The 25,346-nt window shown below is 43.4% G+C and overlaps 1 long non-coding RNA gene across 1 annotated transcript in view; it reads right to left on the bottom strand.

Annotated features, from left to right (window-relative positions):
* The window catches only part of LOC105374618 (uncharacterized), a 188,354-nt gene that overhangs the window by 52,144 nt on the left and 110,864 nt on the right, over positions 1–25,346 (bottom strand). The window contains exon 3 of the long non-coding RNA NR_171679.1: positions 197–717. This is a non-coding gene — a long non-coding RNA (uncharacterized LOC105374618). The remainder of the gene's footprint in view (positions 1–196; positions 718–25,346) is intronic.

The following is a 25,346-nucleotide window of genomic DNA, read 5'->3' as shown; positions in this document are numbered from 1 at the left end:
TGTATAGAATGGTTTGCCTCAAGTTGCATTCTGTTGTCTGTAAAGGAAAGTATTTCTTTTTTTTCCCCTACTATTACTAATTTTAATGTCATTTCCCCGGGCACAGCGCCTGGCCACATCACTCTATATCCCTCCAGACACCCAGGGTCTCTGGAAAGAGGCAACTGTGGAATGAGGGGAGGCCGACCTCACTCACCTTCTGCAGGCTGCATGGGGCCGGGGCTCCAGGTCTTACCCTGTTTAGATCTGCTTTGCCCATTAGGTTTGTTTTCATATCTCACCTCCTGAAACTAAAAGCTGTGGCCAGTGATGTTGTGGACATTGAGGCCTAAGAGGGTGTGATACTCTTCCAGTTCACTTGTGTGTGTGTCTTTCTTGATTTAATGTGGAAGCACTCTTTTTTTTTTTTTTTTTTTTTTTTTTTTTTAGACGGAGTCTCTCTCTGTTGCCCAGGCTGGGAGTGCAGTGGCGCAATCTCCACTCACTGCAACCTCTGCCTCCCGGGTTCAAACGATTCTCCTGCCTCAGCCTCCTGGAAGCACTCTTTATAATAATTTTCATGAAGAACAGAGTCATGCTCCGGCAAATCGTGGAGCTCAGAACTGGTGCTGCGGCCACATTCCACGCACGTGCAATCTGATCTTCGCTTCTGTCTCCAGGCAGCACGTGCGCTGCTCCCCAGGAGGAAACTTCCCTCCGCGTCTGGATGCCGTCCACCTGTCGGGAGAGGCGTTAACAAGGGTCATTGACAAGATCGGCAGCAGACAATGTGTGAAGGCAGCGGTTCCAGACTTAGAGGTAACAGTGATTTAAGAAGGATTAATTTTGTATATGTTTCCTCCAAGTGAAAATCTTTCTCTTCTGAATGTTTTATTCTTTATTATCATTTTTTTCTTTTTTAAAAAAGAAAAATCTGTTATGTGAAATTTTTAGTTTAATATGTTTTTATTCTGGGTCAAGTAGCTTGCAGGAGACACACCACCCCTCACTCCCTCCACCCTTATTATTTCTAAAAAGTATGCAGATACACCCACTCAATTAAATATAGCATCTTTTCCTTACCTCTGCATTCTTTCTTTTGGAAATAATTTTTGTTTAAAATCCCACACTAGGCAAACTCAGTGCCTGGACCAAGGTTTCTTAGAATGAGGCTGTTGACCACCTTCCTCAGACCCTGGAGTGTCAGAGCACCTAATTTGTTTGTTTAAAATGTAGATTCCAAGGCTAACACCCCCACCACTGCTCCGCCTCTGTTTCCCTGCTGGCCATTGCACAGCCCTGCAGTACACAGTACAGGAGCAGAGACGGACCCTGTCCTTCCCGCTGTCACCTGTCTGTCCCCAGGAGGGAGGGTGCTCTGGGTGGGAGTTACAGTCCTATCGCCTGGCACAGGCCAGTTCCGCCAGGGTTGGAAACACTGCCTGGAACTGAGCCTGGGTGTGGGTGGGAGGGAGGGAGTGTCTACATCCCATTTGCTTTGCGTGATTCTCTTGTCTCTTGACTTGCAATTCTCCAGTTTTCTAGAGTCTGCATTAAAGTGAGTCCTTTTGTTATTAAATATCTACCTTGTAACATTGTATTACTGATTGTTTTATTAATTTAATGAAAGACAAAGTCAATTTTCCCAATCAATTATTGGGATGGGGAGTCCCTGTCAGGGATTTTAATCAGAAACATTCAAATATTTTAGTGTGAAATAAATGAGAAGCTAGTGATGCATTTCTAACATGGATCAAGTCCCTCCTGAGTGCTTGCTGAGCCTCCAGAGTGTGTGTTCCCCTCAGCAGAGTCCTCAGACCAAAAAGCCACAGCCACTCCCCTCAGGGACCTTCCCACCCCTTTGGGAAGATAAGCAAAGTCCCGCCATGGTTCATGCATGAAGCAATCCATATTAGTCCGTTTTCATGTTGCTGATAAAGACGTACCTGAGACGGGGCAATTTATAAAAGAAAGAACTTAATGGCCTCACTGTTCCAGGTGCCTGGGGAGGCCTCACAATTATGGCGGAAGGCAAAAGGCGTGTCTCACATGGCAGCAGACAAGAGAAGAGAATAAGAGCCATGCGAAACGGGTTTCCCCTGATAAAACCATCAGATCTTGTGAGACTTATTCACTACCATGAGAGCAGTATGGGGGAAACCTTCCCCATGATTCCATTATCTCCCACTGGGTCCCTCCCACAAGATGAAGGAATTATGGGAGCTTCAATGGAAGATGAGATTTGGGTGGGGACACAGCCAAACCATAGCAAATCCTAAATGCACACCTAACAACAAAGCTATAAACGCACAGGCCCAAAACTCACTGAGTTAAAGGCAAGACAGGCAAGTCCACAGTTATATTTGGATACTTTAACATTTCTCTCTCAGTCATTGGTAGAACAAATAGACAGGGAATCAATGAGAATATAGAATACTTGAACAACGCTATTACCCAGCTTGATCTAATTAGCAGCCTAGACTGCTTTTCCTGACAGCAGAAGAATCCATGCTCTTGTTAAGTGCCTACAGAATATTCACCAAGAGGGACCGTATGGTGAACCACACACAAGTCTCAGCAAATGTGGAAGGATTAAATCATGCAGAATACGCACGTTCCCTGACCACAATGAACGTCCATTAGAAATTCATACCACTCAATGAGATGACGAAAAACGAAACAGAACAAAACTCTAAAGTGAGCAAAATATTTCCGAAAGTGTTTTGTGAAAGAACACACATGAATGGCCAGCAGACACACATACAAGGATCACAGGTCTGATCAAAAAGCAAACATGAAGGTGACTGAGAGAGTCATGTGCAGGCAAGACAGAGCAATGGCAACTCCCATCCGTTGCTGGTTAGCATATAAAATGGTTCAACTGCTTCAGAAACGGTGTACAGCACAGCTATACGAGATGGTACCATTGGGGAAACCGGAAGTAGGGGGTGAGTGTCCATGGGCTCTGATGACTTCTCACAAGCCCAGGTGGATTCACGGTTATGCCAGGTGGATACTGACCTCATTCAGTTGGGAATGTCGTTTTGAACTCTTACTTCTTCCCTTTCTTGCAACTTCCATCCCCTAAGCCAACCTGACAGGCAAACACAATCCCATTTCCTGCCCTGCTGCACCTCCCAGAGGCTCTTAGCACCTCCGGAGAGGTTCCGGGCTTCTCTCTTCCCAGTCCCAGAGGAGAAACGGGAACATTAACTACAGGGGAAGGGCGTTTATGACAGGATTGGAGGAGGTCACCAGGAACATTTACTTCAGACAAGGGTTTTATTTATTTATTTCATTCTCCCTCAAGATCTTTATTTTATTTTTTATTTGTTTATTTTCTTTTTTATTATAATTAAGTTCTGGGATACATGTGCAGAATGTGCAGGTTTGTTACATAGGTATACCTACGCCATGGTGGTTTCTGCACCCATCGACCCGTCATCTACATTAGGTATTTCTCCTAATGCTATCCCTCCCCTTCCCCCACACCCTGTGACATGCCCCAGTGTGTGATGTTTCCCTCCCTGTGTCCATGTGTTCTCAATGTTCAGCTCCCACTTATGAGTGAGAACATGTGGTGTTTGGTTTTCTGTTCCTGTGTTAGTTTGCTCAGAGTGATGTTTTCCAGCTTCATCCATGTCCCAGCAAAGGACATGAACTCACCCTTTTTTATGGCTGCATAGTATTCCACGGTGTATATATGACAGATTTTCTTTATCCAGTCTGTCATTGATGGGCATTTGGGTTGGTTCCAAGTCTTTGCTATTGTGAATAGTGCTGCAATAAACATACGTGTGCATGTTTCTTTGCAATAGAATGATTTATAATCCTTTGGGTATATACCCAGTAATGGGATTGCTGGGTCAAATGGTATTTCTAGTTCTAGATCCTTGAGGAATTGCCACACTGTCTTCTACAATGGTTGAACTAGTTTACACTCCCACCACCAGTGTAAAAGTGTTCCTGTTTCTCCACATCCTCTCTAGCATCTGTTGTTTCCTGACTTTTTAAGGGTCACCATTCTAACTGGCGTGAGATGGTATCTCATTGTGGTTTTGATTTGCATTTCTCAAATGACCAGTGATGATAAGCATTTTTTATATGCTTGTTGGCTGCATAAATGTCTTCTTTTAAAAAGTGTCTATTCATATCCTTTGCCCACTTTTTGATGGGGTTGTTTTTTTTTTCTTGTGAATTTGTTTAAGTTCCTTGTAGATTCTGGATATTAGCCCTTTGTCAGATGGATAGATTGCAAAAATTTTCTCCCATTCTGTAGGTTGCCTGTTCACTCTGATGATAGTTTATTTTGCTGTGCAGAAGCTCTTTAGTTTAATTAGATCCCATTTGTCAATTTTGTCTTTTGTTGCCATTGCTTTTGGTGTTTCAGTCATGAAGTCTTTGCCCATGGCTATGTCCTGAATGGCATTACCTAGGTTTTCTTCTAGAGTTTTTATGGTTTTAGGTCTTACATTTAAATCTGTAATCCATCTTGAGTTAATTTTTATATAAGGTGTAAGGAAGGGGTCCAGTTTCAGTTTTCTGCCTATGGCTAGCTAGTTTTCCCAACACCATTTATTAAATAGGGAATCCTTTCCCCATTGCTTGTTTTTGGCAGGCTTGTCAAAGATCAGACAGTTGTAGATGTGTGGTGTTATTTCTGAGGCCTGTGTTCTGTCCCATTGGTCTATATTTCTGTTTTGGTACCCCAGTTGAAAGACACAGACTGGCATATTGGATAAAGGGTCAAGACCCATTGGTGTGCTGTATTCAGGAGACCCATCTCACGGGCAAAGACACACATAGGCTCAAAATAAAGGGATGGAGGAAGATTTACCAAGCAAATACAAAGAAAAAAAAAAGCAGGGTTGCAATCCTAGCCTCCGATAAAGCAGACTTTAAACCAACGAAGATCAAAAGAGACAAAGAAGGGCATTACATAATGGCAAAGGGATCAATGCAACAAGAAGAGCTAACTATACTAAATATATATGCACCCAATACAGGAGCACCAAATTCATAAAGCAAGTTTTTAGAGACCTACAAAGAGACTTAGACTCCCACAAATAATAGTGGGGGACTTAACACCCCATTGTCAATATTAGACATGTCAACGAGACAGAAAATTAACAAGGATATTCAGGACTTGAACTCAGCTCTGGACCAAGTGGACCTAATAGACATCTACAGAACTCTCCACCCCAAATCAAGAGAATATACATTCTTCTCAGCACCACATCACATTTATTCTAAAATTGACCACATAATTGGAAGTAAAACACTCCTCAGCAAATGCAAAAGAATGGAAATCGTAACAAACATTCTCTCAGACCACAGTGCAATCAAATTAGAACTCAGGATTAAGAAACTCACTCAAAACCACACAACTACGTGGAAACTGAACAACATGCTCCTGAATGACTACTGGGTATATAACAAAATGAAGGCAGAAATAAATAAGTTGTTTGAAACCAATGGGAACAAAGACACAAGGTACCAGAATATCTGGAACAGAGCTAAAGTAGTGTTTAGAGGGAAATTTATAGCACTAAATGCCCACAGGAGAAAGCAGGAAAGATCTAAAATCAACACCCTAACATCATAATTAAAAGAACTAGAGAAGTAAGAGCAAACAAATTTAAAAGCTGACAGAAGACAAGAAATAACTAAGATCAGAGCAGAACTGAAGAAGAAAGAGACACAAAAACCCCTTCAAAAAATCAATGAATCCAGGAGCTGGTTTTTTGAAAAGATCAACAAAATAGATAGACTGCCAGCCAGACTAATAAAGAAGAAAAAAGAGAAGAATCAAATAGACACAATAAAAAATGATAAAGGGGATATCACCACTGATCCCACAAAAATACAAACTACCATTAGAGAATACTATAAACACCTCTACGCAAATAAACTAGAAAATCTAGAAGAAATGGATAAATTTCTTAGCACTTATACCCTCCCAAGACTAAACCAGGAAGAAGTCGAATCCCTGAATAGACCAATAACAAGTTCTGAAATTCAGGCAGTAATTAATAGCCTACCAACCAAAAATAGCCCAGGTCCAGACGAATTCACAGCTGAATTCTACCGGAGGTACAAAGAGGGGCTGGTACCATTCCTTCTGAAACTATTCCAAACAATAGAAAAAGAGGGACTCCTCCCTAACTCATTTTATGAGGCCAGCATCATCCTGATACCAAAACCTGGCAGAGACACAACAAAAAAAGAAAATTTCATGCCAATATCCCTGATGAACATCGAAGCAAAAATCCTCAATAAAATACTGGCAAACCAAATCCAGCAGCACATTAAAAAGCTTATCCACCACAATCAAGTCAGCTTCATCCCTGGGATGCAAGGCTGGCTCAACATATGCAAATCAGTAAATGTAATCAATCACATAAACAGAACCAATGACAAAAACCACATGATTATCTCAATAGATGTAGAAAAGGCTTTTGATAAAACTCCCTCAAGATCTTATCAAATGTTCTGTGTTTTAACTATTTCCATTAAGAAACTTTCTCAGAAAAGGGGTCCCACGACTCTCTGTTTCAATCAATGACCATCTTTATTTTACAGAAGTTCTTCTCAGATGTTCTTATCACTCCCCCTGAGGTGTAAGCTCACCAGCTGCTCCTGCTCGTGCTATTTTCCTGAAAGGCATCCAAGCAGAAACTGTGAGAGACCCTCAGAAAACAGTCAAGGGACCCCTCCATTCCTTGCAGGCTCTGCTGGCTCTGGCCTTGCGTGAGAAACAGTGGATGGCCCCGTGAGGACGCTTGGAGAGGGGCGACAGTTACCTTCTCAGATCAGCAGCGTGATGGCAAAACAACCAGGCCCCTCAGTCAAGGTGTCCACGCCGCTGTCTGGTGTTCAGGAACATCAGCTCCCAAGTAGGAAGCTCGCATTCACAGGCCAGAGTGACCGCTCCACTCAGCATTGGTGGGAGCTGCTCTGACTCCACCTCCAGATCAGACCTTGGGGAGCCCAGCCAGCTCCTTCTGGGTGCTGTTACCTTCCTGTGATTTATGGCCTCCAGTCTGGATGCCCTGAGGTCATTCTTGTTAGGACGATCACCTTCTGAGTTGCTGTGCCTTGCAGAGAGCATTTATTGCCAGATGGGAGCTGTCGCGGGGGTCACCAGAGACAACTGCCCCCAATTTATCTCTCAAGACCTGGACCTGTCATCTACTTGCTGTGTCATCAGCAATATCTGTGTAGCCCCTTGTGTGTTGTGTGTAAGGAAGGTTGAAAGTGAGCGTCCTTCACGTCTTCTCTGTGGTGGGAGAGTTACTTGCGTGTCCCTGCTGCACTGAGCCCCTCGCCCCATCTGCCTGGGCTCCTCCCAGTCAGCCCCTTGCCGTCTCTTAGGTCTTAACATATTTAACCTGCCACTTTGGTCACAGTATCTTCTGAATAAGCATTTATTGCTTAGAATTGGATATTTGTATTTGGAATAATGCTTGGACTAGTATTTTATGGTGACTGAATGTCCTGACTTCTTCAGATAGAGTGGTATATCCCCCCATCTCCTGCTGCACAACCTCATGTCACTGAAAGCCTCGCATAGGCTGTTCTTACCGTGGCTTTGTGAGCCTGTAACTCCTGGCTCTGCTCTGCGGGCAACAGGACCTGCTTCTGGCTTGTCCCCTGCTTCCAGCTTGTCCTCTGCTGCAGGGGTGCAGGGCCCCCTCCTCGTTCTTAAACCAGTCCCCTGCTTCCAGCTTGTTCTCCTCTGCAAGGGTACAAGCCCCTCCTCATTCTCATACCCATCCCCTGCTTCGGGCTTGTCCTCTGCTGCAGGGGTGCAGGGCCCCCTCCTAGCTCTCATAACAGTTCCCTGTCTAAGATAATACTGCTTTTCCCTGGGCTTTCCAGATCACAGAGGCCATGAGACCCATGTCCAGAGGGGCCTAGGAGGGAGCTGTGGGCTCAGTTGGTTGATTTTCTCTGGCTTGGGTCGCTCCTACTGTTCTGAGGAAAATAAGCTTGGCCATCACCAGACACCAGAGGATGCTGAAGGGACAGCCGGCTGGACTATTTCATGGACTCTCTGAGCATGTCCTATTGCACTCCAGGTATAAACTTTCCTCCAGAAATAGACAGAGGGATGCTGCTTCCCAATCTCAGCAAAGGCAGTGAAAAGATCCTGGTCAAAAGCAGAGACTCTGGGTCCAGGCCCTCCGGCTGAAACCCACTCTGGTATGGTTTGGCTGTGTTCCCACCCAAATCTCAACTTGAATTGTATCTCTCAGAATTCCCACATGTTGTGGGAGGGATCCAGGTGGAGGTAATTGAATCATGGGGTGGGTCTTTCCCATGCTATTCTCGTGATAGTGAATAAGTCTCACCAGCTCTCATGGGTTTATTAGGGGTTTCCACTTTTGATTCTTCCTCATTTTCTCTTGCTGCCACCACGTAAGAAGTGCCTTTCACCTCTCGCCATGATTCTGAGGCCTCCCCAGCCATGTGGAACTGTAAGTCCAATTAAACCTCTTTTCCTTCCCAGTCTCAGGTATGTCTTTATCAGCAGCATGAAAACAGACGAATACAGTAAATTGGTGCCAGTAGAATAGGGCGCTGCTGAAAAGATACTGGAAAATGTGGAAGCAACTTTGGAACGGGGTAACAGGCAGAGGTTGGAACAGTTTGGAGGGCTCAGGAGAAGACAGGAAAATGTGGGGAAGTTTGAAACTTCCTAGAGACTTGTTGCATGGCTTTCCCCCAAATGCTGATAGCGATATGGACAAGAAGGTCCAGGCTGAGGTGGTCTCAGATGGAGATGAGGAACTTGTTGGGAACTGAAGCAAGCATGACTCTTGTTTTACCAAAGAGACTGCCCTAGAGATTTGTGGAACTTCGAACTTGAGAAAGGTGATTTAGGGTATCTGGTGGAAGAAATTTCTAAGTAGCAAAGCATTCAAGAGGTGACTAGGGTACTATTAAAGGCATTCAGTTTTATAAGGGAAGCAGAGCATCAAAGTTTGGAAAATTTGCAGCCTGACTATGAGATAGAAAAAACCCATTTTCTGGGGAGAAATTCAAGATGGCTGCAGAAATTTCCATAATTAGCAAGAAGCCTAATAGTTCGATTCTAGCTATGAGGCTACCTTGAAATCTCGCAGTCACACTCTAGGTATTAGACTACCTTGGAATCTCAGAGTCTAGCTATGAGACTATCTTGCAATCGCGCAGTTAGATTCTAGCTGTTAGACTTTGGGTGGCAACATTTGCTAAAGTTTCCCAGTCGCATGCGTGGGCCTTGGGACCCTCTTAGCCTGTCTGGAGAGCTTCAGCATGAGCCAGTTTAGCAAGAGCTGGAGACAGGGCTGAGGGTGATGAAGCCCCAGTTGAAGAAGCCAGCGACTGGAGAGAAGGCCCCCTTAACATATGCACCCTTTGCACCTGTTCCCAAATGCACACTGCATTTGGTGATTGATTATTTTCCTATCATCAGTTGCAGTATGCACCCTTGGTTTGTTTACCTCACCGCCATTCCCAATTCTCCCTTCTCTCTTCCATGCCTCAAATTAAAGAGAAATTCTTAAAGACCAGTAATCTATTTTCCAGGATCTCTTGTAGCTACGATTTTCCATGAAACAAGTTCTAGCCAAATTATGGAAGAGGAAATCTGTTGGGGCTTTCCAGGAACCCCATACCTAATAGGAACCCCATTATTTTCTAGACAAGAGATGGGCACACACTTGCCGGCACATCTCTACCCCTCCCTATTCCTTGAGCTCCAATGTGCAGTCTGCAAACCTGGCTCCTGTCTAGTGAGCATGGGTCAGCCAGCATGAGCACAAAACCCACTGGGGTCGTTGGTGGGTGGCTCAGCCTACACCAGTGGCCACTGCTCACTCCTGTCCATCCTTATGTGAGTAAGAGAAAGCCCTGTGTTTTCAGCCGCTGTAAATCCATTTCCTGGTTTTCAAAAAGTAAGATTATAAGGCAATGCAAGTATTACTTTGCAATAAAACACTGCCAAATCACCTTCCAGCTGGTAACTAATTACAGTCTTAACAAAGACCTCAAATGAGAACCTACTAACCTAGCAGGCAGCCCACAGAATTGTAAGCAATAATAATAACTTGTTGCTTCAGGTAACTAAGTTTTGAGATGATTTGTTACAAAGTAATACGTGATTGGAACAGTTCTCCTAAGTCCTGGGGCAATTCTTTGCTTTCTGGCAAAACAGGATGCCCTGGGCTTTCTCTGCCTCAGTCTGGAATCAGCCTATTCTTTGGGAGCTCTGTTTCCTTTCAGTGGAAGAAGGTAATTAGAAACCAAGATCTGGGCACCAGGTGTGTTCACTGCTGCTGATGTGACTCAGCTTTTATGCTCTCTCAGCAGACAGAATTGGGAGAAAGGTAGATATGGACATGACATAGATGGGTACAAATATATGTCTAAATGTCCACATTGTGAAAATAAAATCATGAATTTACTGCTATCTCTAATTCCTATGCAAAAACACAGGGAATAGTTCAGTCTTTGTTTCCATATATGAAACTCCCTTATGCAACCCTGAGAAACACTGGCACGCATTTGCTGAGGCCCAGAATATGCAAAGAATAGTTTCAGATATGCTACCCATGAAAGTGTTAACAGCAAGCCTGCAACTTGATTTCAATATTTGCAGGGGACTTTTTAGTTACAATTTACATACAGTAAAATGTACAAACCTTAAGTGTACAATTTGATGAGGTTTGACAGATGCATGCATCCGTGTAACCCATAAAAATATTGAACCTTCACGTAACCTCCAAAAATTCCCTTGTCTGCCTTTGGAGGCAGCCCCCACCACCACAAAGCAAGCCCTCTTTGTCACCACAGATTAATTTTACCTGTTCTAGAACTTGGAGTAATGGATTCATGAAGTCTGCCCCCTCTATCTCTGACTTCCTTTGCTCAGCATGATGCCTGTCCGTTTCATCCAGGTCATCACTTGCACCCACCATTTGTCACATTTTTACTGTTATGCCATTATCTGAATACACACAATTCGTTTAATCCACTATTTTCTTTTCTTTTTTTTTTTTTTTTTTGAGATGGAGTTTTGCTCTTGTTGCCCAGGCTGGAGTGCAGTGGCATGATCTCGGCTCACCACAACCTCTGCCTCCCAGGTTCAAGCAATTCTCCTGTCTCAGCCTCCCGAGTAGCTGGGATTATAGGCATGAGCCACCACGCCTGGCTAATTTTTGTATTTTTAGTAGAGACTGGGTTTCTCCATGTTGGTCAGGCTGGTCTTGAACTCCCAGCCTCTGTTGATCCACCCGCCTCGGCCTCCCAAAGTGCTGGGATTACAGGCGTGAGCCACCTCACCCGGCCTAATTCACTATTGTCTTTATGAGCATTTGGAGTACTTCTGCCAAAAGCTGCTGTGAAACACATGTTGAATATTTGAAATGTTCCTTCACACAGTGAACATTTTGTACAAGTTCTTTTTTCAAAATAAACTTTTATTTCTTGTGGGTAAACATCTAGCAGAATAATTGCTGCATCATAGGTAACTGTGTGGTTAGTTTTATAAGGAACTGCCAAGCTTTTCCCAAAGACTTGTGCACTTCAACCCTCCTGGGCTGTTGTGTGAGAATCCTCATTGCTACAGATCTTTTCCTTTATTTGTTGTTATCTTTTTAAATCTTTTAATTTGAGCTATTCTAATGTCTCTGTGTTGTTTTCTTATTTTCCGATATGTATATCCCTGATAAATTGTGATGTTGAGCATTTTTCCATGCAACTATTTGCAGGTGATTGTTGTAAAGTATCATTTCAAGTGGATAGCTCTTTTTATTGTGTTGTTTGTCTATTATTGTAATGTTGTATGCATTCTTTATGTAGTGTGGACAGATACTAGTCTATGGTCAGATATGTGTTACGTGAATATTTTCTCTCAGTCTCCTGCCTGCCTGTTGATTTTCTTTATGATATCTTTTGATGACCTAACATTACTAATTTTTATGAACAATGATCCATCATGATTTTATTTTACATTTTTTGCACTTAGTGTTCTAAGAAATATCCACATACTCCCAAGTTATGAATGTATTCTCCTAAGTTCACCCCTAGAAATTATGTAGCTTTTAAATTTAGGTCTACAATCAATATCAAATTAATATTTAACTATGACATGGAATAGAATTCAGGTTTTATTTGTATCCATACGGATATCCCATTAGTCCAATGCCATTCAATTTCTGCAGCACTTTTGTCAAAAATAAGTAGACTGTGGGTCTATTTCTGGACTCCCTATTCTATCCTATTGATATCCTACTCCTATGGTTCCATACTTCCTGATCTCTGTCACTTTATTCAACTTGGAATCAAGCAGTGTAAGGGACAGGGAGAGCAGACATCATGGCCCATTTCCAGTCTTGGAGGCAAGCGTCGGTGCTTCACTGTCAAATGTAAGCAGAATGTCTATTTCACAGATGCCCTGCCTCCGATGGAAGAAGTTCCTCTCTATTCCTAGCTTGCTTATAACATACATAGGTGCAGTTATGTATTTCTGATTTGGTGTTTGTTTTATTCTTTCTTTAAATGTCCTTTTTTGTCTGGATGAGATTCTATAACTATTCATTCATCATGACCACATCTTCTTCTAAGTCCTGGAGTTCATTTTTAGTGGTAGTTTTGAAACCATTGTTAATTCTGCTGTCTGGGTCTTCTCATGTCTCGTTTCTGTAACCCGATTTTTTTTGTTTGTTTGTTTGTTTGTTTTTGAGATGGAGCTGTCGCCCAGGCTGGAGTGCAGTGGCGTGATCTCGGCTCACTGCAAGCTCCGCCTCCCAGGTTCACACCATTCTCCTGCCTCAGCCTCCCAAGTAGCTGGGACTACAGGCACCCGCCACCACGCCCAACTAAAATTTTTTTGCATCTTTAGGAGAGATGGGGTTTCACCGTGTTAGCCAGGATGGTCTCGATCTCCTGACCTCGTGATCCGCCCGCCTCGGCCTCCCAAAGTGCTGGGAGCAACCTGATTTCTTTATTGAGTGTGGGCTCCATTTCCTGTGTCTTCACGTGCTCAGTATCTGTTTTGAATACTGGATGCTGTGAGTTCTGCGTGGCAGAGATGCCGGGCTCTGCTGCTTCTCTGGTGGTTGATGCCATTTTCATACCAGGTGCTTTACGTGGCTGGGCTTACACCCTAAACTCTGTCTCCCTTTTGGTGGACAAAAGCCAGAGTCTCCATCCAGCTCCTTCAGCCTCACAGCTGCTCTCCTGTTGTCACTGTTGTTGACATTGTTGACTTGTTTTGCTGGGAACCTCGGTTGTCTCCCCATAGGTGTGAGTTCGAGGGTGAACCACACACTTTTACATATATTAGGTGCAGATTTGGCCGTTCCTTATTGTGTTTGCTCCTTCAGGACATATTCTCCTCTCCTTTTAGTGACTCTAGTTTCCCTGGACATTGTCCTCCAACTCCTGAGACCTTAAGACTGCGGCTTTCTGCTTGAGATTAGGGGCCCACCCCTGTGCAGCAAGGGAATCCCCTCAGGTAAAAAGCCAAATATCTGCCGATCGTATCCCATGTGGTACCTTCTCACAAGGATTCAGCACACTATGTATTTTTCCTGCCTTCATTCACTCTCCACTGCATTCAAATTGTTGAGAGTTTAAAAATTATTTGTGCAGGATTAAAAATTGTTACCTGCAGAAGAATGCATCTAACAAGCTTCTCCCCTGTGACTTTATTTCCTGTGTATCCCACGATTATCTTTCTTTTGCTCAATATTGAGCTCACCCATCACCAGGCCTACCCTCAGCACCTGGGAAGTAAAATCATTGCTAACAGGCACAGTGGTAGAAATTGTATTACATGTACACATGAAATAAACAGTCAAATCACTGGTCTAACTTCCACACAGCCTGAAGATTCTGAAGCTAAGCATCCACACCTGGATTCTGAGAAGGCCCCTGAGTTCTACGGGGCTGTGTTCCCCTGCACTCAATTCTAGCTTGGCTGACAGACAGAGGAGAGAGAGGAGAGCCCTCACCAGGTGTGGTCCCAGGCTAGCCCGGAGTGACGGGACACTGGGATGACGCCAATGGCAGAGCCGGCCACCTCACGTGCCCAAAATCTGTGTGGCTGGATCTCAGAAACGAGAAGCTAACTCATCTCAGACTGGAAGCAACTGTCACCAGAGCATCTCGTTTTTAAAAGTCCAGGGTGGCTTCTCGTCGCAGCTAAAACTGACCTGCGTCACCTAAACCAGCAAGCACTTGCAGCACCGATGCTTCAACCAGCTGCATGGGCCAACAGGCTACTGGGGGAGAACCAGGACAGAAAAGATGATGGCGGGAGGAGACGTGGGGAGCAACGGGGCAACTTCCTGGTGGCGGGCAGCCCGAGGCACCGGCTCCCCAGAATGCTGCCCCCAGAGGACCGGAGGAGGCGGACTCCTGGCAGCACAGCTCTTCCTGCACCCACTACAGGACCGTGGATGCCAAAGACAGCTATGCTCATGTCCTTTCATCTCAGCTACATCTGTGCCTAGAACAGGGCAATATCTGTCCTCATCTGAATAGAGAAGATGGAAAAAATATGAAAAGTATAAGGAAAATAGCAAAATCTACTGCATAAGAAACCTTATCTATTTGATTGCCCTGCAAATAATACTTTAGAGGAAAGAACTGAAGGTTTAAATTGGGATTCTATGCCCTCTCCTGGGGTACTTACTGTTAAGAATTCACTCGATGTATATGTACCACATTTGCTTTTTCCAGTCTATCATGGATGGGCATTTGGGTCGATTCCACGTCTTTGCTATTGTGAATTATGCTGTAATGAGCATATGTGTGCATGTGTCTTAATAATAGAATGATTTATACACTATGAAATACTATACAGCCATAACAAGAAATGAGATCATGTCCTTAGCAGGGACATGGATGAAGCTGGAAGCCATTATCCTCAGCAAACTAACGCAGGACCAGAAAACCAAATACCGCATGTTCTCACTTATAAGTGGGAGCTGGACAATGAGAACACGTGGACACAGGGAGGGGAAAAGCACTTACTGCAGCCTGTCAGGGGAGGGCGGGGGAGGGAGAGAGCATTAGGGAAAAGAGTTAATGCATACTGGGCTCAATACTTAGGTGATGATGGGTTGACAGGTGCAGCAACTATCATAGCACCCATTTACCCATGTAACAAACCTGCACATCCTGCACACGTCCCTGGAACTTAAAAACAAAAACAATAAAATAATCAAAAAAAAAAAAAAAGAATTCACTTGAGACGCGTTTGAGTGACTAAACCTATTCCTCGCAATCCTACTCATGCCCTTCACAGTTTCACTCATCCGAGCCAGCGCTGTTGTTTTCATTTTAACTTCAGAAGGGGAGCATATGTGCTAGAAAAACAGATGATTTAAGATCACATTACTATTGAATCTCTTGAACTTCATATAGGACTGTGAAATTCACAAGTGATTTTGACAACCATTGGATAAGTTTTTCCAAGAGAGTTTTCCCAATTTAGCACTTACCACATACTGTGCGTTAGAATATTTGACAAAAGCTATTTCCCTCCTGTGGCCTTCCTTTTTGAGTTGTTTAATGGAATCATTAAGGGATAATAGATAGAATTCAGTTCCCTTTCATGGGAGTTGAATGTCCACCCTGCTTAGAATGGAAACTGAGAACCCTGGTGCCCAGGAATATGAGGTGCTGACTGAGGCCTTTGCAGATGGAAGTCTCCAGAAATACAGACTTCCAGGTTCCGCCTCCTCCAATTTCTACTTCCCATCTCTCTTGAAAACAAGTCAATTTGCTACATTGTGTTAAAATCAAACTCTACAGAGAAATGTGTGCAGCAAGGAAGGATATTTAGCAAATTAACAAGGGCTTTGTTTTAGATTTATTATTTATACTAATCATTTAATCATTTGAACAAAATACTGTATTTTCCTATATTAATTAATGCTTATCCCCAATAAGAGATTTATACAAAAATTTTACAAACATGCATACAATTTCCTTGTATTATGTACTTGAAACTGAAGGCCAGGATTTGTCAATATTTTTGCATAATGACAGTTTTATTAAAAAGAAAGCCCTTATTTTAAAAAACCTACTCCTCCTAAAAACAGTCACAACATGATAATTATTCTTCCTTCTTCTACGTCCCATGCTTGACTATGACATATCTCTTTTAATATGTTCTAACTTTTATATTATTGGTTTTTTTAGAAAACAAATCTGTTAGTGATTATTATTTTGGTATCAATGTCTGAATTTGATTACGTTATTACAATCTTGTATTTGTCACTGAATTTTGCTGGGAACTAGTGATTCATTCCATGTCTTACACCTGAAAGGTGTAAGAGCATTTTAAAGAATGCAAAGATTGGAGTGTTCATCACTTCGACTCATGCATGCCTACTGTGTGCTTTCCAATGGTAGCACATCAACTTGTTGATACCCAAGTGTGGCCTTTGTGCACGGGATAGACTATTTACAGCTACTTGGTTTAAAGTAATATTTAACATATGAATATATATGTGTAAATATATATATATATAATATACATATATGCACACATGCACACACACACATTACCAATTTAAAATCCTAGATTTCCTTATGGATTAAAGTCTAATTTGCAACTATTGTTACTCTAGTTATAAATCTGGTAAAGTTAGGGGAATCACCCTTCAGTTTTCCATTTATGAGTGTAACTCAAGTTAAACTAACCAATTTTCTTAAACACCAGTTTCATTTACAATCTAATGAAATTTCCTTAACATCTGAAACAGTGTATCTAAAAATTCACTATATCTGGTGTTCTTTTAAATATGCTTTGACTGTCTGAGCATTGATTTCTATAACAAGAAAAACCTACCCAAATATTTAGACAATCTGTTGCAAAGGGCTATGAAGTAATAAGGAAACATGGTATCTTAATCAGGTTTTTGCTAAGGTATTGCTGCTTAAAGAACCTTAAAATTCTAGCAGTTTAATATAAGTTAAAGTAATAAGCATGTGTCTCTTGCCCAAGGTCTAAGGACCTGCTGAGGGCTCTGCTCCAGGCTGTGGGTCCAGATCATATTTGCCCCATGACACTCTTACCCTAGAATCCAGGCTGGGGAAGCAAGGGCTGCAAGAGTGTGTCCTTCTCGTGGGGAAGGACTGAGCCCAGGAGGCCAAGATGAGCACACTCACAGCTCCAGCTTCCAGCACCCAGAGAACATCACATGGCCAAGCCCAAGCCAACAGGGCAGGGAAGAGGCTCTACCAACCCTCCTGGCAGCCACTGGAATGAGACGCTGCCCAGGGTAGAGAAGGAATGATTCCACAATGGGAGAGTGTGGAGACCTGGGAATTTGTCTGATCACCACACCTAGGTATCAATATTAACCACAGTCAAAGTCAAATGCAGGACAAAAAAGCATTTGACCCACTAAACAGGGTCTTTTAAACTGACAAAATGTGTAATACACAATGACGAACGCTAGCTATAACACTAAGAAATTGTTAGGCTACAAGGAGAAATTTAAAGTTCCATCAAGAGTTATCAGAGATGAATGCTTTTCTCAGCCTTTGGCACATTAGGTAGAGAAAAACACTAGGATTTGTGAAACATAATAAGTAAACTGTAACTTAAAAGCTACATAGCAAACTGCTTCCTAATGGCAGAGACTTCACTGTTTCTTAGAATAACAATCAAACATTGAAAGAAAATAATCACATGCTAGTTTTCAAAGAAACCCTTAATGAATTTACAGAATGATGTGTTTGTACCACAGTTTAGAGACAATAAAAGAAAATTTGAAACAAATAACAGATGCTTAAAATAAAAACCAATTATGCAATTTGAAGCACAAAATCTTTAACAGCTATTCAAAGAAAAAATAAAAACTTCAAATAAAGACTAATTTTAAAAGTGAAGTGAGAACCCAGCTCATGAAAATGGGCAAAATGTGGCAAAGGCGAAATGCAGAACAAACGTGAATACATCGATGTTCTCTGTGCTTCAAAAAGAAAGAGATTGTTGTGGGTTTCTTTCCTGTGGAATACTTCCAGCTCTGAAGGAACACGGAAGATCCATGCTGGCCGGCATTGGGCAGAAGGAAGTCTTCCTGAATAATTTCACAAAGCCGCCATTGCCTCGATGATCAAACCTCACCGAGACAAGTGAAAGGTTGCTGGAGTTAATTATCTCTTTGAAACGTGGGTTTCTAGAACTCTTGTGTTTTCTGAATTTTCTAAAATCAGTGTATATTTCTTCTTTGCGTTTTTTTTTTTTTCTTTAACTACTGTTTTAGACAGCAAAATGGTAGTGGGAGAGGCTTTTCCGGAATATGCAGGGGTGGAGAGTCACGGAAATGGCCCTGCACCCCACAGACAGCACCAGGAAGGGCGTTCTTTTATTTCCCGGTTTGTTTATAGTTACTCTGCATGCACGGGAGGCTGGCCCATGACTGGACGCTGATGTATCTTTAAGTCATTCCTCCAAAAGTGCCTTCATTGTGCTCCGGAGGAAGGCAGAGCTGGGAAACCCAGTTTCACACAGAGCCCAGTCTGAGGTGGTGGGCAAAGTAGCGGGTCTGCCCTTCCCTTGCTCACATCCTTCTAGTCTATTCTAAGGGGCCACTGGGTCTCTGCTCGTGCAGGAATGGAATAGAAATTGGCTCCAGCTACAGCAACTGCCCAGTCATTCACTCCAGATACACTGCCTGGTGCCAGGTGTGAGTCTTCACGCGCCCATCTCTGACACTGGTATCTCACCTGCTTAATGACCTCATCCTAGGTGTGTCTTCAGGAGAGCGCCTGGCCAGTGAGAACCTAGGATCTGGGTCTGCACATCCTCCAAAGCCTGCCCGCCCGTATGCTCAGCTTCCCTAGGCCACCATGGTCTGTGTGAATGACACTCCCCTACAGGCAGCCCGACGCTGAGTGCTTTGGCCTCTCTGGGTAAACACACACGGAATTCTCCAATATTCAGTAGCTGCTTTGGGGCCTCCCATTAAGTTCAGGACTCCACAGGAACACCTTGCAGCATCATCTGATGTCGTCCTCACAGCAAGGCCATGAGGCAAGGCTCACAGACATCGACACCTGCTCAAGGCCAGTATTGGTCAGGGGTGGATCTGACATCCAGGCCTTGTGTGTCCTGACTTGGCTGCATTAACTTCTCCAAAAATTGTATCGTTTGGCATTCTCGTGGTTCCAATTTGCTGTTCACTCTTTTTCTCCAAAACATCATGTTGCGGGATGAAAAATCCTTTGTCCATAGCATTTTAAACAGTCACTAAACGACTTGAAAGAGAATCGTTTAAATACATAAACTGTTTTCCTATGCCTAGTCTGACTCTCTAATGATACAATTTTTAAACAAGTAATGAAGTTTGGAGCAGCAGCAGTGACACAGCGCAAACCACTCAACCTGCAGTCCTGGGGATGGTGTGGAAGAGGGGCCGATTCCAACTTTGTGAGCTTCAAGCAAACCACTCGACCCGCAGTCCTGGGGATGGTGTGGAACAGGGGTCGATTCCATCTCTGTGGGCCTCAAAAGCCTCAATTCAGAAATGAGGAAGTGGGGCTAAATAAACCCTGGAGTTACTTCCAGAGCTAATTCTGTGGCTTCACAAACACTTCTCACTGGTGATTTTAAAAGATGGTTATTTCCGCCCAATTAATGACCTCAGACACTGCACTAACACAAATTGCAGAACCATCTGGGTGTTATCGTGTTGTTGAGTTTCATACTGCAATATTAAAAGCACGTGACTTTTCTCAATGACCATTCCCAGCCTCTGTTTCTGGATTGATTCCTGCCAGTGTCTTTTATTTGTCTATTTCTGCAGTTTGGGAGAAATGCTTCATTTGTTAGAAGCCAAAAATAGAACTGAACCTGCTTCTCACCACAGGGTTCTGGGGAACAAGGTCGCTGGGATGTTATCGTGAGTTGTGCTATAATGAGGGTAATTCTGGTCAGGTTTAATTAGGCAAAGTTGCTGCTTGAAGAGGCTGGGTCCACACTTCATGTGGGCTGCAGCACAGGGGCTAGCAGGGACATCAAGGAGGTGGGGCATGCCATCAGCCACACCATCAGCCACCTCCTCTCTTTTAGATACCTCGTTGTCATTGAAAAGCAGGTGTCACGGGATGTGCCATCATGAAAACATTTGGTATTGGGAGTTCATTATCTAGACATGATGATGTGCCATGCACTAGTACAGCAGCTATTTTAAGCTCTTTGTTCCTTAACAGAGTCAGTTCTCAATTATCCATCACAAGAGAGGGTCAGTGGCGGGAGTGAACTCGATTGACAGGCAATTAAAACCATGCACATTTAGCTGTAAAATTAACAGCACAGGAAAACAGGAAAAGATACTTTGTAGGTTACTAAATTACAAAGCATTTTAAATTGCATTCTTAAGTTGTTACAAAAACAACACATTTGATTGTTGACTTTTAAATCAAACAGTAAAAAAGCAACAGAGCTCTCACTCTGCACCCCAACCACACATTCCACATTTTAATTATTTCCATTATTAGTTCTTCTGGTTATTTTTACCTCCGTATCTCTTAATAATATGTTATAGCACTATTTATTGATTTATCAATTTTTGGTATTAAACCTATTGGCTGTCTACAGTGGGAGATTGCAGCTCATTTGTATTACTTCCCCCTCTCCACATTTGACCAATATACCTACTGTATTATTTTTGGTTCCCATGTTGATTACTTTTATCATATAATTGCAATTCTACTTCTTGTTTTGTTAACTATAGTGTGGATGGTTTCCTGCTTCACAAGATGAAATCGTTACATCCTCTGTATTTCCATTAATTCATCATCTCTCCCTTCCACCTGTTCCAATTCTTCTTCCAGATTCTCTCTATATTTTACTTTATATTGTCAAGTTTGATTGCATTTGCATTCTATCCCATAATCATAATTAAGAATTCTCTGAATTCTGTCTATATTGGTTCTAAAGCTTAGAAAATCAATGAACCATATTTATATTATGGTCTTGGTATATTATTTGCTGCAAAGTGGAATCATATGCTATAATTATATTTCCTTCCTTTTAGAGCTTTTTGGTTTTTCTGGAGTTTCTAATTGCCTTGTTTTTCTGCATTAGTTGTTTCTACCATGTTCTTTTTACCATGTTCTTAAGATTTGATATTTTAAAAGCACTATCAATGAAATCACCCACCATTATTATTTTTTTCTTCCCAGGGACTTCCCTTTTGGAGAACTCTATTCTCCTGGACTTATTGCTCTGTACCCCTATTATCCTGGGACTTCAATTTCTCAATGTCCTGAGTTGTATCCCCTGTTTCTCAGATCCATATCTTCTTGATTTTCTCCATTATTTTGTTGCAGTACATCTTCATGTAATATCTTTAGAAAGGGTTGGGGCATGAATCTTTGCATATTCACAGTTTATTGATGCTATTTGCATAGTTAATAATAGTTTGACTTGTATCTAAGGCTGGGCTCTCCCAACAAATACCCTGGGACAAAGAAGTAAGTGCCAGCAGTTTGCATGGGAGGTACTCTGAAGAATCTCTTGTAGGTGAGTGCAAAAGTGAGGAAAAGAAAGCAAACCAATATGATGTGCCTCAAAGTGAAGGTTACCACTATGAGCAGCAGGACCTCTGGCAGACTGTGTGGTAGGCATGTTCTCCAAGTCATCTCATTCAAGCTGGGAGGAAACCAGAGTAATCGGCGAAACCCCCATTCCCTGTGTGAGGGCTACTCCCAGAAGTGTTGACTGCCTGAATTGTCTCAACTGCACAGGTTGCCTCCTTTGGCCAGAGAAAGCCCTTCCGCAATGATCTGCAAGGGTCATGGTAGGATGCAGTCACCCTCTCAGGACAGGCTTTGCAGAGCACACCATGGGCATCTGCCTCCAGTGCGTAGAATTCTAGACAGGAAGTCACTTTCTTTTGAAAGTCTGAAGCCCATAATCACTGTGTTTTGGGATAAACCCCCTGTTTCTTGATTATCTAAAAGATGCTCTTATTTAAAAGATACAATATCTCCTTGAATTTTCTCTGAGAATATTAGAGATGGTCCAATGTTTTCTTTTGTTCCCCAAACTGTCTGTTTCCTTCAGAGCCAGGTTTCTCTATTTTGTGGATTACTGTACACGTGGGCAGTGCTTCTTAGACAGTGGCTTCACACGGGAATGAGCAGGCTGAAAAGCAGCATTACCAGGGGAAACCCCCAGTGACAGCATCCGCAGGGTTCCACTGAAGGACCAACCTCCACACAGGTGAGTTCTGGCTCCCATTCTCCCCCAGACACCTCCCTTAATTTTCTGGAAGGATGGGTTTGGGGGAGAAAATTCCTATTAGAACATCAAGCAAGGTAGCAAGAGGCAATTGAACATATAGGTCTGGATTTGGGGAGAGAGGTCTGAGCTAGAGACATAAAAGTCTGGGTCATTGGCTTATGGATGTTACTTAAGCCACAAACCTGAATGAGATCTGACAGACAGAGAGGACACCCAAAGAAGAGAAGTCCAAGACCCGAGATTTGAGGACTAAAGAGAAATCCGTGAAACTGGAGAGCTGGGAGGTGGCGGGAGGCAGGTGTTAGTTAACAGACATTTACTGTCTCAGTGCTCGAATGCCAACGTCCACGCTGAAGGTGTCAGCAGGGTTTGTCCCTCCTGAGGCCGTGAAGGAGAATCTGTTGCACATCCCTCTCTTAGTGTCTAGTGGTTTGCCAGCAGTTTTGGGGATTCCTTACCTTGCAGACACATGCTCCAATCCCTTCGTTACACAGCCACCTTCCCCCCGTGTCTCTTCACATCACCTTCTCTGTGTGCATGTCTGTCTCTGTGTCCACATTTCCCCCTTTTGTGAGGCCTCCAGTTACAATGGACTGGGGCCCACCTTAGTGACCTCAATAAGGCCACTCTCGAGGTGCTGCAGGTAAGGATTTTAACATACCCTCTTGGGGGGGTGTCCTCTTAGCTCATTTCCTCCCATCCAGGTCTCAGGATGGATACCCCGTGCCCTCCAGCTTCTCTGTACAATGTCCCCCGGGACTGCCCCAGTGCAGAGGCGGCCGCTGCGCACCCACATCCATCACCAGTCCCCTCTCACTCATGTGCTTTCCGAAGGTCATATTTAGTTTTTCAAAAATGTGCTTATGGCAGGCATATTTCTATTGTAAATATGCATGTTAATTAAATGTTATACAATCTGACAAATGTGAAGGCAGGGTTATTTTTTCATGGAAACCAAGTCAAGTGCTTGGGAAACATCTGCTAGTAAGAAAAGTGACTCACCACAGTTACTGTGAAATTAAGATTGGATAAAATCACCATAAAAGATTGGGAAAATCTCTCAGAAATGTAGAAGGAGTCTTCACTCAGATTGTGTTGTAAGCATTGTATGTTCTTGACCTGTTTGAAAGAAACCCAACTTGTAAGTTGAGGTCAATATACAATGCATATGGTTTACAAAGAAAAAAAAAGAAAAGAAAAATATATCTGCTCAACTCCAGTCAATAACTTATGCTCAAAGAAAAGACTTGGTCTCCACATCAAAACATTGGCTGGTTGGTGCCATGTATTTGTTTAAAATGGAAAGGAAACATTTCAGGTATTTATTACTGGTTTTATAATTCTGCTTCTTGGCTGTATTACAAAAATATGGATCCTACATTAACATCACATTTCCCAGTTGAGGCTCAAAGTCCTTAAATATTGTACATGTTGTAGGTAGCTGAGGCAGGGTTGAACAGAAGCAGTGGAATTGCAGAGCATCCCCGGAGCTTGTCCCTCCAGTACAAGCAGCAGATCGACTCACGGAGGGGCCCATAACTGACCCAGGGAGGTCTTAGGAGTCACAGTCTATTCGACACAATCTATTGGCATGGTTAAATGTTAACCTACGGGTTTCAATCTTTCTCTAACTTCGTCTCAATTTCTTTTTCAACCTCCATGTTTGGTTTTCCTATTCTAGCTTTCCCATATTTCAAATTTTTAGGCTGGGTGTGGTGGCTCACACCTGTAATCCCAGCACTTTGGGAGGCTGAGGCGGGAAGATCACTTGAGGTCAGGAGTTCAAGACCAACCTGGGCAACATGGTAAAACCCCGTCTCTATTAAAAATACAAAAATTAGCCGGGCATGGTGGTGCACACCTGTAATCCCAGCTACTTGTGAGGCTGAGGCAGAAGAATCCCTTGAACCTGGAAGGTGGAGGTTGCAGAGAGCTGAGATCACACCGCTGCACTCCAGCCTGGGCGACAGAGCGAGTTTCCATCTCAAAAAAAAAAAAAAAAAATCAAATTTGTATATAATCACAGAGGAAAACCCAGCCATTGTGGACAGGAGAAGACTGAACACTGTACCCATGCCCTCACCTGTCCACGGAGCTGGCAACAGACAGAGTGGAGAACCCACCTGTGCCTGGGATCCTTCCAGACCCGGTGGACTCGACAAATTCAAGAGCGAGTGAGATGGAGAAAGTCCCTCCCCATCAGGACCATCAACAAACACGGATGAAGCTCCTGCTCTATCTGTAAGATATTATGCTACCAAGTGGGGGTGCATAGACGGGTAGGGAAGGATACTGCATCAGCGGGACCCAAGCCAGGCGCCGGGCTCCTCCCATGTGCACATTTCCTCATTCAGTGCTCACAGCCAGCTCTAGGGACAGGCGCCAGCTCTAGGGGACAGTGTGATCCCCAGCTTTCAGGTGAAGAAGCTCAAGAAATGTCGAGGGAGTTGAGACATTCGCGCGGTTAGAGCAGAGACAACCCTCCATGCCCGCCATCCTGAGCATCCAACAAGGACTTAAACTGCAACAGTGATCTCACAAGAGCCTTTGTCTGTGGAATTGTATTTCCGTGGATGCCTATTTTCTGTTTCAGGGCTTAGAAGTCTCACTGCACTGCCTATATTTACACACATAGGCAGCAGAACACCCAGCAAGCAGATCTATGAACTCTGACATACTTTGAAACTGGGCTGCTCCGTTGAATCAGCTGAGAACATTTGCCTGTCTTCCTACCTCTGAAGGTGACCTCTTGGCCAACGTTTCAGCACAAGCAACCCAGCTGCGGCCAGTCCCCCAGCCATGATTTTCATGATCCCCTTTTGAAATCTGGCCGTGCCAAAGTGTTAACCTCAGGCTGTAACTCTGTGATTGATTCGGCTGATTTTCAGGGGCTCCTGCACTTAAAGAGGCACAGTTGGCACAATCAGCTGGCAGGGACCTTTACATCCTGGCTCTGAGCGCGTCCTGGGAAAGGCCACCATGGCTCGGGAGCCCTCTGGGTGCAGAGTGATCCCGGGAGCTGCCTGTCTGGGTGAAGACGAGGGCGTGCGTTGTCTAGAATGCTTAATGAACTGCAGCCTTAAAACAGTCTCGTGATAATATTGTC

Source organism: Homo sapiens, chromosome 5, assembly GCF_000001405.40.
Source record: "Homo sapiens chromosome 5, GRCh38.p14 Primary Assembly".
NCBI classification, from domain to species: Eukaryota; Metazoa; Chordata; class Mammalia; order Primates; family Hominidae; genus Homo; species Homo sapiens.
This window is presented reverse-complemented; position numbering and strand designations above follow the sequence as displayed.